A 17,143-nucleotide genomic window follows, 5' to 3' on the forward strand; every position below is an offset into this window, starting at 1 on the left:
CATTATTAACCATGACAGTAAGACAGTGAAGTTACTTAACTCTTCAATTTCATCAACTGTGTAATAAATAATACACCAAACTGAGTGGCAGTGAAAATTTTTTAAAATACTAAAATAATAGCTAACATTTATGTGTGTTACACCTCATTTAACATTTACAACATCCCTGTGAGTTAGATGGCCTATTTTACAGATGAAACCAATGCACAAAGAGATTAACTGCCCAAGCTACATAATAAATGGCAGGGCCAGGATTCAAATCCAGGCAGTCTGAGTCCAGAGCCCATATTCTTAATCTTTATCTAATCCTGTACTGTCCCCTCCACAAATACTGCTTTCCTTCTTTTTCCTCACATTGTTTCTACAGACAGATACAAAAGAAGAAAAGACATGCAGATAAAAAAGAAGAAAAGGAAAGGTTACCTGAATTCCCCACTGCACCACTGTTTACCAGGGAATTTGGAGCCACAGTACGGGGCCAGTGTCCATCGTGAGACGTGTTAGGGATTGCCACAGGTCTGGCAGCAGGCTGTGCAAAGATGATGCTGGGATCATTTAGGCCAATATTGCTGGGGGCACTGCCTGGTGCAGAGTGGATCACTGGGCCATGGATGGGCCAGGACGGGGCAGGGATCTGGAGAGGGTGCATTGGCAACAATCCCATATTGTGCATGGGAGAATACTGAGCTGGTGGTGACTGGGGAAAGTTATACAGTGGCATCTGGACCTGATGGGGAGGTTGGGCTCCCTGCTGAGGTGGGCCAAGCTTAGGTTGGGATCCTGGCTGAGATGAAGGCTGAGTAATAGCAGCTGACTGGGAAGAGTTCTGTGGAAATGGCTGAGGCTGAGGAGAATAAGATGGTGATTCAGACTGCAGACAAAAAAAAAATTTTTTTTAATTAATTTATAAACATCTTAATTTTATAAAAGTAGAGATAAAATACAAAATTAAAAACTTTATAAAACAGAACTCTATGATGTATATCATAACAAATAATTAGTTTTTCCCAAGGTACTCAAACCCCCTTTTCAAGTAGGTATTGCCTCACAAATCGTTTTATTGTCCAAAGAAACGAGAGCCCAGACATGGTTCCCATCGTGCAGAACACATACTTCCTATTGCAAACTCAAAACTTCCATCTAAATATCTCATAGTCACTTTCATTCAGTCCCTCAACAAGTATTTATTGTGTCAATTATGTACTAAGTATTGTTCTAGGTAATAAAAATGTAATACCAACATGTATGCCCTCATGGAGCTCAACGTTTAAGGGGGATAAGGAAGGGAGCAGACAAAGATTACATAAGCAATCATAATAAGTATAATGAGTACTATGATAAAGAATGTACAGTGTACAGCTGTCCCTCAGGATATGCAGGGGATTGGTTCCAGGACCCCCACAATCCTGTACTCAAGTCCCACAGTCAGCTCTACAGAACCCATATATACAAAAAGTTGGATCTCTGAATACTTGGGTTTTGCATCCTGGGAATACTGTACTTTCCAACCACAATCTGTTGGAAAAAATTCATGTATAAGTAGACTCACGCAGTTCAAACCTGTTTTGTTCAAGGGTCAACTACATAATGAAATCCCAGAGCAGGAACACCTAAAGTCACTTTGGGAGAAGGAGAGAAGAGAAATCAGGGAAAGCTTCCTAGAAAAAGTGATCTTTTAGCTGAGACTCAGGGTAAACAGAAATCAGTCTGATACAAGAAGGGAGAGATAAGGGGAGAGGAAGAGTGTTCAATATGATTGAAGGTCTAGAGGTATGAAAACACATGGCTTTTTAAAGTAATTGGAATCTGAAAGAAGTTTAATATTACTGGAGTATATATAATGGCAGGGGAATGGCCGAGGCTGAAGAGCTAAATAGGGGCAAGACAATGAAGTGTCTTATAAGCCTTGTAATTTAGACTATATCCTAAATGCAGTGGTAAACCACTGAAGGGTTTTAAACAGGTATGGAACATGATCAATCTGAACTTTAGAAAGATTATCCTGGTTTAATAAGAATAAAATAGAGAATTTTTTTAAAGGCTGATGAGAGACAGGAACAGTGGCTCAAGACTGTAATCCTAGCACTTTCAAAGGCTGAGGCAGGCAGATCACTTGAGCTCAGGAGTTTGAGACCTGCCTGGGCAACATGTCGAAATCCCATCTTTACAAGAAATACAAAAATTAGCCAAGTGTGGTGGTGCATGCCTGGAGTCCCAGCTACTCTGGAGGCTGACATGGGAGAATCACCCGAGCCTGGGAGGTCAAGACTGCAGTGAGCCATGATTGTGCCACTGCACTCCAGCCTGGGCAACAGAGCAAGACGCTGTCTCAAAAATGAATGAATAAATAGATAAGTAAAAATTAAAAGGCTGTTGAGACTGATTAGGAGACTGCTAAAAGGCTGTTGAGACTGATTAGGAGATGATAGTAGCCTAGGCTAAGGAAACACAAACAGGGATAGAGGGAAGCAAATGGCTGTGAGATACTTTTTTTTTTTTGAGACAGTCTCGCTGTGTTGCCCACGCTGGAGTGCGGTGGTGCAATCTCGGCACATTGCAATCTCCGCCTCCTGGGTTCGAGTGATTCTCCTGCCTCAGTCTCCCAACTAGCTGGGATGACAGGTTCCCTGCCACCACATCCAGCTAATTTTTTGTAGTTTTAGCAGAGATGGGGTTTTACCATGTTGGTCAGGCTGGTCTCAAACTCCCGACCTCAGGTGATCCACCCACCTCAGCCTCCTAAAGTGCTGGGATTACAGGAGTGAGGCAAACACCTAGCTTTTTTTAAGGCAGAAACAACAGGACTTAGTGACTGAACATAGAGGTTGAAGGAGAGGGAAAAGTTTTGGAAACTAGATAGAAAATGGGATCATTCAACGAGATATAAAACACAGGAGGAAGAGGCAAGTCCTGGGGGTTGAAAGGAAAGATTAACTATATTTTAGGCATGTTGACGTGCTTTGTTAGACATCAGAATAGCAATGTCCATTAGACAGACTCTTTCCGAAAGCACGGGTGAGAGAAAAGTGAGGACTAGTAGCATAAAATGAAAATTAGGGCAGCATAGAAAAGTGGTTAGAGCATAAGTTTTGCTGACAGAGAGCCTGAGGGTTCGCGTTCTGATTCCAAGTGTCTATTGACCTCAGGCAAGAAACTGAAACCTCGGTTTCTTTACCTATAAAATATAATCAGAATTTGCCTCAGGTTTTTGAGAAGATTAACTGAACAATGCATGTGGAACATATAACCACCAAGTTCAAGATAGCAGATACATTTCTGTAGCAAGGGAAGGATGGTAGGAAGCTTTTAAGATAGGAATGGGATCAAAGAAGAATGTACAGGGTGTTCAACTGAGGGTGATTTTTTAATAAAGCTAAAATAACAATGTTAAAAACTGTTAAAGCCTGGTAATGATACATAGAGATTTATTTTCTATACTTTTCTGTACTTTTGAAATATTTTATAATCACAAAGAATGAATGCATGTACAGCACATAGTTTACACTCAACAAATGTTAACTACATTAAATGTGATTATTGTTGTTTATGAAAGTATCAAGCACATAATAGGTATTCAAGTGTTTGAGGTGAGGGTGGAAAATTTCCTAAATGTTTTCCAAAGATTCTCCCTAATACTCTTCAAATACTTGAATGTTTTTTCTAAAACACAAATCACATTAGATTTAGCATGTTAAACGGTTAATGGATTTGATGCTAGAAAGACTTCGGTTTGATTTTTATACTCTCTTATTCTCAGTTTCCCAATTTGTAAAATTTGATGATACTAATACCTACCACTTCACATGGCCACTCCAAGGATTAAATTTGCTAAGTGTAAAGCACTGAATATTATGTCAGATTTAGAGTGTTATTTAGAGTCATTATTAATTAAGAAGTACAAGGTGAATATAGATTTACACAAAGGTTAAGAGCAACTCAACAAACAATATTAAACTTATGAGTCTGGGCTGGGCGCAATGGCTCACACCTGTAATCCCAGCACTGTGGGGAGCCAAGGCAGGTGGATCACCTGAGGTCAGGAGTTCAAGACTAGCCCGACCAATATGGTGAAACCCAGTCTATACTAAAAATACAAAAATTAGCTGGGCGTGATAGTATTGCCTGCAGTTCAGCTACTCAGGAGATGGAGACAGAATTGCATGATCCCAGGGGTGTGGATTGTAGGGTTGCAGTGAGCCGAGAACACGCCACTGCACTCCAGCCTAGGCAATGGAGTGAGACTCCATCTTAAAAAAAAAGAAAAGATAGTAAAATAAACTTATGAGTCTGAATTCTCATTCAATACTGTTTTTTTACAGGGTGTATTTCACTAGGTATCCACAGGTCAAGCTATGAGAAGACAGAAGTTTCATGCAAGCAAAATGCCATGTATATATTGCCCTAACAACACTAAATGCCTAAAACATCTCAATTTTTTGGTCTATTTTTATTAATGGTACTGATATTTTTCCACTAAGCAAAGTCTGAAACCTCAAAGTCATTACCTTATTTTTAATCCATCTTATTAGGTAGTTATTGTACAATTGAAGAGTAGGCTCATATAAATTAAGTAGCTTCTCTGTAGACAGAAACCCAGATCTACATTATTCCAAAAGGAATGCTCATTCCACCTTATGTGCCTAGCAAGGACATATATACAAAGCACTGTGTAATCTGGAAGATTGTATTAGCCAGTCTGAGAGAAAACACTATCACCCATTAAAGATACTGCTATCATCAGTCAAGACTAACACATTCACAGGCAGAGTACTTACACATTCTGATGACTGTCTAGTCCTTATGGACTGATCACCCTGTTGCTGAGCTGAACCAGCCACCTGTTGAGCATTTACAAGGTTGCGGACCAGCTGGGCTGCTAAGAGAAGGCATCACAAAGAAAATCAACAGATAAGGAAAGTAGCAGAGAAATGACAATAAATAAACTCCCTTCTTATGTAAAAGAATCTCAAATATCTCTGCAATTTTATAAACTTGGACTTTTAAACCTTAAGTATATTAACGAAGGACTTGCAGCAACTGAGCTACTTAATTTTAAAAGCTATTTGTCAAACTAGCAGATCAAGAAAAAAAATAACACTGATCCTAGAAGCAAGAACAAATGTTATTCTGCTTTTCTAAAGGAGACAACATATTTATTTGAGAAATACTTTCTGGTTGGGTGCAGTGGCTCATATCTGTAATCCTAGTATTCTGGGAGGCTGAGGTGGGAGGATCACTTGAGTCCAGAAGGTCAAAGCTGCACTGAGCTGTGATCATACCACGCACTGCAGCCTGGGCAACAAGAGTCTGTCTCTCTCTATGTCTCTCTCTCTCTCTCTCTCTCACACACACACAAACCTTTCTGCAGTAAGAATCTGAGTAACTGGAAATCACTACTTCTAAAATGTTCTCTTATTTTTTTTTAATAAACTCTTACTTGGGTTACTATTTAACTCTCAAATTCCTTGTGAAATATAACATGAACAGGTATCCTTCTCTCATAACAGCAGTGGGAAGAAATATAATTCTCCAATATGTTTCTAGGAAAAAAGTCTCTTGTAAAGAATGTTAGTGAGAGAAACAGATGAAGAATCTGACTCAAATCCAAAGAATAGGCTGGGCACGGTGGCTCACGCCTGTAATCCCAGCACTTTGGGAGGCCAAGGTGGGTGGATCACCTGAGGTCAGGAATTTGAGACCAGCCTGGCCAACACAGTGAAACCATGTCTCTACTAAAAGTCTAAAAATTAGCTGGGCGTGGTGGCATGCGCCTGTAATCCCAGCTACTCAGGAGGCTGAGGCAGGAGAATCGCTTGAACCCGGGAGGCAGAGGTTGCAGTGAGCCGAGATCGCGCCACTGTACTCCAGCCTGGGTAACAAGAGCGAGACTCCATCTCAAAAAAATAAAAATAAAAATAAAAATCTAAAGAATACTTACAGGGAGATAATTGAATACAACAGACTGTGGAAACCTTGATAATAAACTTATCCAAGTACTATTAAAAGTAAAAGCCTCATTGTCTAAATTTTATCTCTTTAAGAAATTGTAAGGTCCAAAATCATACAATTAGGTTTGCAACAGAGAGGAATTAGGGTCATTTAGCATGCAAGCAACATAAATGACTTCGTTTCTACCAGAAACTATGTTTGGCCTTTTCTATTTACCTGCCACACTGCTATTCCTCTGACGGGCCAGCTTGACCTCTGGGCACTCCCTTCGTACATGTCCAGCATCTCCACATATAAAACATCTGAGGTCTCTCGGGTCTCTAAAGTCTCGAGTATCGTGGAGGTCTCGGGGGTCAAGAACATCTCGGGAATCTTTCTCTTCTTCATTCCCTTCCTTCTCTTCTTCACTGTCTTTCTTCTTTAGTCTAAACAGTAAACTGCTGATACCAATAATGTGGGGCTAGGGACTTGTAAATTAAGTGAGTCACAGAACAAACTATGCAGGACTCTCACAATAACAAAAGGACTAACATGCCCATCATTTCATGCGTCTTTTTGAAGGCAAGGGAACAAACATTTATGGCACACCTGCTCATTTGGCAGGAACTCGGTTTTCCAGTAGTTTTGTAAAACAATATTATATTAAATTTTTTAAAATACCAAATCTTAAACCTTTAACAATCCTTAGAGGTTGATATTTATTATCTCCAGTTTTAAAAAGAAATTGAGGCTTAGAGAAGATAAGTGTCTTGACTAAATTTAATAGTAAATAGCAGTGATGGAAACTGGAAGTTCGTTCTGTCTCAAAAGTTCCAAGTTTTTATTTTAGGCCAGACTTGATGACAAAAGAAAGAGATCTTCCTGACCTACTACAGTATACAGAACCTGGGAGACTATAATTCGTAGATATATTTTGAGGGAGTATAGAAGATGTACATTCCCCAAGATCTATAAATATAGCTCACAGCATGTTATCTCAAGAATTCCATTAATTGTATTTTAATTATCAGTTTGCATGACTGTGAGATCCTCAGCAAGAACCCAACGTCTTGGTCACTTTTATTTCTCCTAGAACAATTCCCAACACATAGACGGTGTCAATAAACAGTTCTTCATTTAAAAAAAACACAAAACTGGCTGGCATGGTGTCTCACGCCTGTAATCCCAGCACTTTGGGAGGCCAAGGCAGGCAGATCACGAGGTCAGGCGTTCGAGACCAGCCTGGCCAATGTTGGTGAAACTCCATCTCTACTAAAGATACAAAAAATTAGCTGGGCATTGTGGTGTGCGCCTGTAATCCCAGCTACTTGGGAGGCTGAGGCAGGAGAATCACTTGAAACTGGGAGGCGGAGGATGCAGTGAGCCGAGATCACACCATTGCACTCCAGCCTGGGCGACAGGGCGAGATGCCGTCTCAAAAAAAACAAAAATAAAAACAAAAACAAAAACAAAAAAAAACTGAGTGAATTAATGAATAAATGAACAAATGAATGTTAGAAGATACTATTATACCACATGCAAATCTTACCCTATTACAAAATTCCACTCAAATGAACATTTACCTTAGGTATAATTAAATACCCTAAACTTTCTCAGTTAAACATTTCTGAACATAATTATAGCTACAAATTGGCCTCTCATTTATTTTCCTCAAAATGTTGATATATATTCATTTGCCAACCTTTTCCTTTTAGGGCAGTCTTTCATGTAGTGGCCTATTTTTCCACACACACGGCAACATCTATCATTGGGAGCCAGTTCTCCATCTGTTAATACTCTGGAATCAAAGAAGTACTCCTAGGGAGAAAATGCAATTTTACTAGGAGGAATCACTATAAAACTTTTGAATCCAAATGGAAAGAAGACCAAGATGCAAACATGGTTTATTTTTACAAAGAAAATAACAGCAACAAATATTTCACTGTAAGAAAACCCAAGATATGAAAATAAGATTCACAATCATCATCATCACAGTTGCTAATAGTACTAACCAAGTTACATCCATATGACATTACACAAAGATGCTACAGATGAATAAGAAAAATCTCAATAAAGTAGATACTATTTTCATCCTCACTTTACAGATGGGGAAACTGATTCAGGAGTTCAGGTCATTTGCCCATAGAAAAAACAGGTTAAGTCTCACATAAAAGATGTAGAGCTAAGTCTGTCTCACAACAAAACTCATGCTTTCTGCTATATCGGGCTACTTCTGGAAAGGAATTATTCTCTGTACAAAATTGCCTGTAGGCTAGGTGCAGTGACTCATGCCTGTAATCCCAACACTTTGGGAGGCTGAGGCAGGGGGATCACCTGAGGTCAGGAGTTCGAGACCAGCCTGGCCAACATGGCAAAACCCCGTCTCTACTAAAAACACAAAAATTAGCTGAGCATGGTGGCGTGTGCCTGTAGTCCCAGCTATTCAGGAGGAAGAGACAGGAGAGTTGCTTGAATCCAGGAAGTGGAGATTGCAGTAAGCAAAGATCGTGCCACTGCACTCCAGCCTGGGTGACACAGCAAGACTCCATCTAAAAAAAAAAAAAAAAAAAAAAAGTCTGTAGTCCCAGCTACTCAGGAGGCTGAGATGGGAGGACCACTCAAGGCCAGGAGTTTGAGGCTGTAGTGCATAATGACTGTGCCTATGAATAGCCACTGCACTCCAGCCTGGACGAAGTGGCGAAACTCTGTCTCTAAAAACTAAAAATAAATAAATTAACAACAACAAAAAAAGCAATTATCTGGTTTATGTGAAATATGATTGGATTTAATACAGCTTTTTAAGAACATGTAACATGTATTATGTAAAGAGGAACAGACCTAAAGAAAAGGTAGGGAACTAAAAAGAAGTAAATAATTTTCCAAAGTCTTAGAACCAGACTTATTTCTGCTTTATCTTTGCACCTTGCTTATCCTTCTAAACTTTAGCTTAGTTTTGCACTGTCACGAAGACTAGTTGGTCCTAACAGTGTCCATCCTTCTGGAAGTCAAGAGAACATGTCCACTTAGGTGTTGTCACATTTACCTAAACTCAAGGATAAAAGTATAAGAGACACGCCCAATAAGATGCCTATAGCTTTAAAAAGACAATAACAAGTATTGGTGAGGATGCAGAAAAACTAGAACACATATGTATTGCTGGTGGGAATGTAAAGTAGCACAGCCACTTTAGAAAACAGTTCCTTGAAAAGTTAAACATAAATTTATCAAAATGACACAGCAATTACACTATTAAGTATATACCAAGAGAAATAAAAACATATTCTCACAAAAATTTGCACACAAATATTCACAACAGCATTATTCATAATAGCCAAAAAGTAGAAACAACTCAAATGTCCAACAACTGATGAATGGATAATAAAATGTGGTATATCCATACAATGGAATATTTTTCAGCCATAAAAGGGAATGAAGTATTGATACATGGTACAGCATGAAGGAACCTTGAAAACATCACACTAAAATGAAAGAAGCCAGTTTCAAAATGTTACATATCATATGATTTCACTTATATGAAATGTCCAAAATAGGCAAATCTACAGAGACAAAAAGTGGATTAGTGGTTTGAGAAGAGGGGAAGAGACGGAATGAGAACTGACTGCTAATGAGGACAAGGGTTTATTTTAGAGAAGATGAAAATGTTCTAAAATTAAATTGTGGGGACGGTTGCACAATCCTGTATATATATTAAAAACCACTGAATTGCACAGTGAATTGTATATAATGTGGACTCTATTCCAATGAAGCTGTTTGGTTTGGTTTTATTTGGTTTTTTAGAGACAGCATCTCGCTGTGTTGGCCAGGCTGGTCTTGAACTCCTGGCCTCAAGCGATCTTCCTGCCCTGGCCTTCCAAAGTAATAGATTACAGGCATGAGCCACCATGCCCATCCTGTGTTTTTTTTTTTTTTTTTTTTTTAAAGACAAGAGATACAATTCTTCATTACTACTGATAAATCAATGTAGCTAATTAAAATCATCATCCTAGTTTTTGCCAGGACAACATAAAGGTCTTAATTCACCCAAGATGCTTAAGACAGAAACCTAAGAAGCATCCTGAACTTGTTCTCTCTCACCCATCACTTTTAATTAATGACCAAGTTGTATCCATTCTATTGCTGAATATCTCTTGAATCCACTTTTCTCTATCCTTCCGCCCCAGTTAGGGCGGCCTACACCTGAGGCCAACAAACTTATTCTGTAAAGAGTCAAGTAGTAAATCTTTTAGGTGCTGTGACAAAATTGAAGATGTAATATACGTACTTACATAATGAGAGAAAGCAAATTTCCACAAAAAAATTTTATTGAAGAAATGTTAAATATGCTAATACTAATAATTAGATATAATCTTTTATAAGTTTACCACTAAGAATATAATTATTTTGGAGGGAGATAACAGTTCATTTAATTGGGGTTCAAAGTTAGTGTTCCCTATCATTAAAACTGAGAGCAACTGTTCATCTATAAATGCTGATCTGCAATGACATTTTATGTATTTTAACTGAAAACGCTTTTCACAGATGAAGAGGTTGAAGACTCAAAGTAGACAGAATAATCTAGAGTACATATGTAAGAAGTAATTTTTCATAAAGAAGAGATACCTATAGATGCAGGTAGATTTATAGATCTAGTAGCAGAAAGCTAAAGGACTATTTATTTGATACTACGTACTGTCTCAGAGGAAAAGCATCCACTGGAGTGAGAAGGGCAGAGGTAAAAGGTGGGACAAAGTGCAGGGCATATGGCTTTTTTTTTTTTTTTTTTTGAGACAGAGTGTCGTTCTGTTGCCCAGGCTGGAGTGCAGTGCTGCAATCTCAGCTCAATGCAACCTCCGCCTCCCGGGTTCAAGCGATTCTCCTGCCTCAGCCAAGCTGGGACTACAGGCGTGCACCACCACTCTCGGCTAAATTTTTTTTTTTTTTTTTTTTTTGTATTTTTAGTAGAGATGGGGTTTCACCACGTTGACCAGGCTGGTCTCCAACTCCTGACCTTGTGATCTGCCTGCCTCAGCCTCCCAAAGTGCTGGGATTACAAACATGAGCCACCGCGCCTGGCCGGCATACTGCATTTTGAGTAAAATAAGTAAATTTGAAATAGTTCTAATAGAATAGGAGCTAAAGGTAACTAAAGAAATATGACTGTCACACAGTACTGAAAGTCCAGTTGAGGCTGGTAAACGTTTATGACTGTACTATATACTTAAAATTGTCTAGCTTTTTTACTTTTTTCCATTAGTGTACAGCTACCCAAGGACAGGCACATGGTGGATACCTGAATTCATATAAGGTACAATACAGAAGAGTGCACAGGAAGGACTGTGGCACAAAGCAATTCAAGGTATATGTCAGATGGCCAGGCGAGGTGGCTCACACCTGTAATCCCAGCATTTTGGGAGGCCGAGGCGGGCAATCATTTGAGGTCAGGAGTTTGTGACCAGCCTGGCCAGCGTGGTGAAACCCTGTCTCTACTAAAAATACAAAAATTATCTGGGCATGGTGGCGTGCACCTGTAATCCCAGTTACTCTGGAGGCCAAGGCAGGACGATCACTTGAACCTGGGTGGTGGAGGCTGCAGTGAGTTTTGATGGCACCAGTGCACTCCAGCATGGGTGACAGAGTGAGACTCCACCTCAAAAAAAAAAAAAAAAGCCAAAGTGTATGCTAGAGAGCAGACAAAATGTAAGTTAAATGGGGAAGAAAAATGACAGAAGACAGCTGATGGATAGGGACAAAATGGGTCAATATATAGGAGAACATAATGATGTAGAAAAATAACTGAAAGAACAAGAAAGATGAAAGGACAGGAAATATACTTATCTTTATCTTTCATTAATTTAGGGAAATAAGGCAAATCTATCTTGCATGCTGTTATAATCTCAGTAACTAGGAGTGAAATAGGTATGAAGTATAAGCATGAAAGACTATGTACAAGGACATTTTTGACCATACAGGTTGAGAATCCCTTATCCAAAATGCTTGAGATCAGAAGTGTTTTGGATTTTGGAATACTTGCATTACATTTATACCAGCTGAGCACCCCAAACCAGAAAATCTGAAATCTCAAATGCTCCACATAAGCATTTCATTTGAGGGTCATGTCAGTGCTCAGTAAATTTCAGGCTTCAGATTTGGAGTGCTCAACCTGTGTAAGTTGTTAACACTGACATAATGAAGATAACCTAAATGTCCATCAAAAGAAAAGTTAGATAAACTAGTATATCCAAGTTATGGAATACTACATACTGACTTTTGAAAGAGAATAAAATAAATCAAAAAATGATTAGCAGACTCATGGGCCCCTTCTGCTAGGCCCCAAATGACATTCAAGACCAAAGATTTTGACATCTATATGTAATTATAATATATTGCATTATTAAGAATTACTAAAAATTTGCATGCATAAACTAAAATGGGCCCATTTCCAGTTTACCGAGGACTCTAATTTAGCATTCTACTAAAAAGTCTCGGAAAGGCACAGCGGCTCACGCCTGTAATCCCAGCACTTTGGGAGGCCGAGGCAGGTGGATCACCTAAGGTCCGGAGTTCAAAACCAGCCTGACCAACATGGCGAAACCCCGTCTCTACTAAAAATACAAAATTAGCTGGGCGTAGTGGCACATGCCTGTAATCCCAGCTACTTGGGAGGCTGAGGCAGGAGAATCGCTTGAACCTGGGAGGCAGAGGTTGCAGTGCACCAAGATTGTGCCGTTGCACTCCAGCCTGGGAAACAAGAGTGAGACTCTGTCTCAAAAAAAAAATTAAAAAAAAAAAGGCTGGGCACAGTGGCTCACGCCTGTAATCCCAGCACTTTGGGAGGCTGAGATGGGCGGATCACCTGATTGGGAGTTCAACACCAACCTGACCAGCATGGTGAAACCCCGTCTCTACTAAAAATACAAAAAAATTAGCCAGGTGTGGTGGCGCGTGCCTGTAATCCCAGCTACTTGGGAGGCCGAGGCAGGAGAATCGCTTGAACCTGGGAGGCGGAGGTTGTGGTGAGCCGAGATCGCGCCATTGCACTCCAGCCTGGGCAACAAGAGCAAAAACTCCGTCTCAAAAAAAAAAAGTGTCACTACATGGGGCTGAGCATGGTGGCTGATGCCTGAAATCTCAGCACTTTAGGAGGCCAAGGGAGGAGGATCACTTGAGCCTAGGTGTCCAAGGCTGCAGTGAGCTATGATTGCACGACTGCACTCCAGCCTGGGGACAAGAGCAAGACCCTGTATCAAAAAAACAAAAATAAACAAAAAGGTCTGACAGCATGCAACACTGTGAGGTTCCTACTGAACATATGCATATATAAACACAAATAGTTGGATTCCTCACAATTCTCAGGTAAAATGCTTTATCAGTGTATCATTGTATTTGTTTTGATCTGTTTTTCATTGTTTCTATTTCAATTAAAATATTAGTCAAATTAGGCCAAATGCGGTGGCTCATGCCTGCAATCCCAGCACTTTGGGAGGCCAAGGCAGGTGGATCATGAGGTCAGGAGATTGAGACCATCCTGGTCAACATGGTGAAATCCCCTCTCTACTAAAAATACAAAAATTAGCTGGGCGTGGTGTCGGGCGCCTGTGGTCCCTGCTACTCTCGGCTGAGGCAGGAGGATCGCTTGAATCCAGGAGGCGGAGGTTGCAGTGTGCCAAGATCACGCCACTGCACTCCAGCCTGGTGACAGAGCGAGACTCCGTCTCAAAAAAAGAAAAAAAAATTGTTTGGTTTTCCTTTTTTCAGTAATTTCGTTTTTACATTTTTTGCATTGTTTCAAATTTTACTATTATTTTATTTTTCTCCATTTTAATTATTATTACCCCATAAGAGGCTAGAAAATAAAAGTATCTGAGAACCAGTGCTCCAAGGGAAAAGAAGACTTCTCTCTGCTTTTCTTATTCTACCCCCAAGAAATAAGACACCTGAAACTGGACTGAACAAGTTCAAGGACATTCACTATGCAATGTAAATGCACGTTTGTTGTGATGGTTAATACTGAATGTCAATTTCATTGGACTGAAGCACACAAACTATTAATCCTGGGTGTGTCTGTTGGGTTTTGCCAAAAGAGATTAACATTTGAGTCAGTGGGCTGGGGAAGGCACATCTGCACTTAATCTAGTGTGCATAATTTAATCATCTTCCAGTGAACATAAGGCAAGCAGAAAAATGTGAAAAGGCAAGACAGGACTAGCCTCTCAGCCTACATCTTTCTCCTGTGCTGAATGCTTCCAGCCCTCAAATGTCGGACTCCAAGTTCTTCAATTTTGGGACTTGGACTGGCTCTCCTTGCCCCTCAGCTGCAGACACTCTATTATGGGACCTTGTGATCATGTAAATTAATACTTAATAAACTCATATATGTGTGTATATATATATGTATATACATGTATGTGTATATATATGTATATACATGTATGTGTATATACATGTATATACATGTATATGTGTGTATATATATGTATATACATGTATGTGTGTATATATATGTATATATGTGTATATATATATGTGTGTGTGTGTCTGTGTATATATATAATAGGATTATATATATCCTATTAGCTCTGTCCCTCTAAGAGAACCCTAATACATTTGTTCTCTTTCTTGAGATTTCTTCTAAGTCTCCTGCTCTGAAGCTAAAACCTCCTGCAGTCTCCCTAACCATAAGAAAGCAGGCAAAAACCAGAGTGAGGCCAAGAGGAATGTGTGACACTCTCCCACCCAATTCAGGTAGAAGGAAACTTCTCGGTTCCATGCCATCTAATTCAGCTTACTAAAGCTATACAAAAATTAGAGAAGCCCCAACAAATAATAAAATATTTCTTCGGTTTTGTCTTCTATGTGTATATTTTCATCGAGATTTCTGAAGATAAAAGAGGGACAATGAGCAGCACCTAAAATTCAACAATCCAGAGTCTTGACTGACTATTCTCATTCACTCAACAAATCCTTATTTGGTACATCCAATGCGCCAGACACTATGTATGTACTGGAAATAGGTGAACCTTACAGACATGAATCCTGTCTTCGTGGGGCTTATAGTCTAGTGGAGAAGACAGAATTTAACAAATAGTTTAAACAAATAAAATTTTGAAAATATATATCTCACTATGGACTATGATAAATGCAATAAGAAAAAATATACAAAGCTATGACCATCTCTTTCCCTATATCTAACATCAGTTTGGAAACACAATTAAGTTTCTTGTTCTATTTAAAAAAAGAAAAGATTCACAATTCATATAATGTAAACTTACAGCTTCTCTGCCAATGAGTGGATAAAAAGGGGTACCAAAAAGTTTCCTTCCATTGATAAATGCTTTCATGATGAAATTGGTCACTATTAAAGAAAGAAGAAAACAATAAAGATGCAGACATTAATGTGTCAGAGTTTTAAAATCAGAGAATCTCTATATTTAAAACTTACTTTTTCTGGAAACTCCAGCACCAAGGTTATGATTCAAGTCAAAAGGGTCTACAAAAGAAATATATCAATGATTAAGAATTACATTCACTGTACCATAAAAATATACTTAGAAGTCACCGCTGAAGTCTAATACTTATATGTACTCAGACTATACAAATCAGCAAACTCTTCCTCTAAAATTACACATTAAAGGAGGAAAACTGATAAAAGAGGAAGAATCTTCCAAATCCTAATGTATTTCAGTTTTCCCCTCAATTTCGTTGACCAAATTTTGGTTGCTCCTGAATTAATATCAGCTTAAATGTTACCTTCAATTGCAATGCACTTGGAAGTCCACTGCTTCTCAAAAGTTGTCAACAGCTTTTTCTGCCGAATGCTAATTACATATTCCTTGAAATCAAACTCTTCAGTATAGAAACGAAGCAGTCCCAGCCAAAGCTCCCCTAATGATTCTGTGTTCTTTCCAAGTGAAGGTAAACGCTTTTTCTACATATAAAAAAAAAAAGAAAAGAACAATGTCTATACAGTACTATCCAAAACATGGACAGCAAATTTAAGTAAAATTATTAAATTATACAGATGCTAACATATATCAGTGAGCATTCTAGAACATAAAGACTATTTTAAAATTACCAGTTCTTCTGTTTTATCAAAGAAGAAAGCATTCCATCCATCAACCATTCTCTGTGGAATCTGTTTTCCATCAAAGATCTGCATAAAAAAATTAATTGTATTATTAGATTTCAAGTGATCCAACCCAAAGGTCCAAATACTCTAATACCATTTTAGAATTTACCTATAAGACATACTAAAATACTTCTTCCAAAAAGAACATGTCAGGATGATGGTATAATTTGATGCCAAGAAGTTAATGAATAAAACGTATCTGAAAGACCAAAGCTGGAAAAGGATGTCTTTTAAGAGCATTAAACTCCAAATGATACATTTGATGTTATCTACTTGACCTATCAAAACATATCCAGTCCAAGAATAATGAAGCAAAACTTAAAAAAGAAACAGCAGTCATGATGAAACAGCAGTTTCATCAAAGGATCACAGATATAAAAATACAAAATAGATAATACCCACTGATTGTGCACCCAAAGGAAGGCAACAGAACTGTTTTGGGACCTAGTACCTTTAATCATTTATCTATATCAGATAAGGCTAAAAAGCAATTGGACTATCATTTTGTAAAAATGGAAAATTAGGGCCAGGCACGGTGGTTCACGCCTGTAATCCCAGCACTTTGGGAGGCCGAGAATGGTGGATCATGAGGTCAGGAGTTTGAGACCAGCCTGGCCAACATGGTGAAACCCAGTGTCTACTAAAGATACAAAAAATTAGCTGGGCGTGGTGGCGTGCACCTGTAATCCCATCTACTCGGGAGGCTGAGGCAGGAGAAATGCTTGAACCTGGAAAGCAGAGGTTGCAGTCAGCCGAGATCGTGCCACTGCACTCCAGCCTGGGCGACAGGGCGAGACTCCATCTCACCAAAAAAAAACAAAAAAACAAAAAAACAAAAAAAAAAAAGGAAAATTAGGAAGCTTTCCCTTACATTTTGATAAAGACTATAAACTTTATTATGAATAATAATCCGCTGTCCTAAGGAGAAGAAAAAAGGAGAAAAAAACGCTATTTTTACAAGAAAAGTATCCCGTAAGATGTCTGTGTAACTGACTTCCACAAGTAATTGATACTTTTATTCTAAAGGAGGCTTAAGAGATGCAATAAAGTAGGAAGGTGCAACAGATTCAGTCAGGAGACCTAATTTCT

At 38.9% G+C, this 17,143-nt stretch overlaps 1 protein-coding gene across 50 annotated transcripts in view; it reads right to left on the minus strand.

Annotated features, from left to right (window-relative positions):
* The window catches only part of TUT4 (terminal uridylyl transferase 4), a 130,189-nt gene that overhangs the window by 7,315 nt on the left and 105,731 nt on the right, over positions 1–17,143 (minus strand). For 19 of the 50 annotated variants that reach the window (XM_017000804.3, XM_047416324.1, XM_047416327.1 and 16 more), the window contains 8 exons: positions 16,001–16,078; positions 15,676–15,853; positions 15,368–15,415; positions 15,198–15,280; positions 7,631–7,746; positions 6,166–6,374; positions 4,776–4,876; positions 424–871 (listed from right to left, as the gene is read on the minus strand). In XM_017000804.3, the coding sequence (XP_016856293.1) occupies positions 424–871; positions 4,776–4,876; positions 6,166–6,374; positions 7,631–7,746; positions 15,198–15,280; positions 15,368–15,415; positions 15,676–15,853; positions 16,001–16,078 (1,261 nt within the window). Of the gene's footprint in view, positions 1–423; positions 872–4,775; positions 4,877–6,165; positions 6,390–7,630; positions 7,747–15,197; positions 15,281–15,367; positions 15,416–15,675; positions 15,854–16,000; positions 16,079–17,143 lie in introns of all 50 variants that reach the window. The other 31 variants (XM_011541097.2, XM_047416325.1, XM_047416417.1 and 28 more) reach the window with 2 other exon arrangements.

The sequence above is a fragment of the Homo sapiens genome, chromosome 1 (genome assembly GCF_000001405.40).
Source record: "Homo sapiens chromosome 1, GRCh38.p14 Primary Assembly".
NCBI classification, from domain to species: domain Eukaryota; kingdom Metazoa; phylum Chordata; class Mammalia; order Primates; family Hominidae; genus Homo; species Homo sapiens.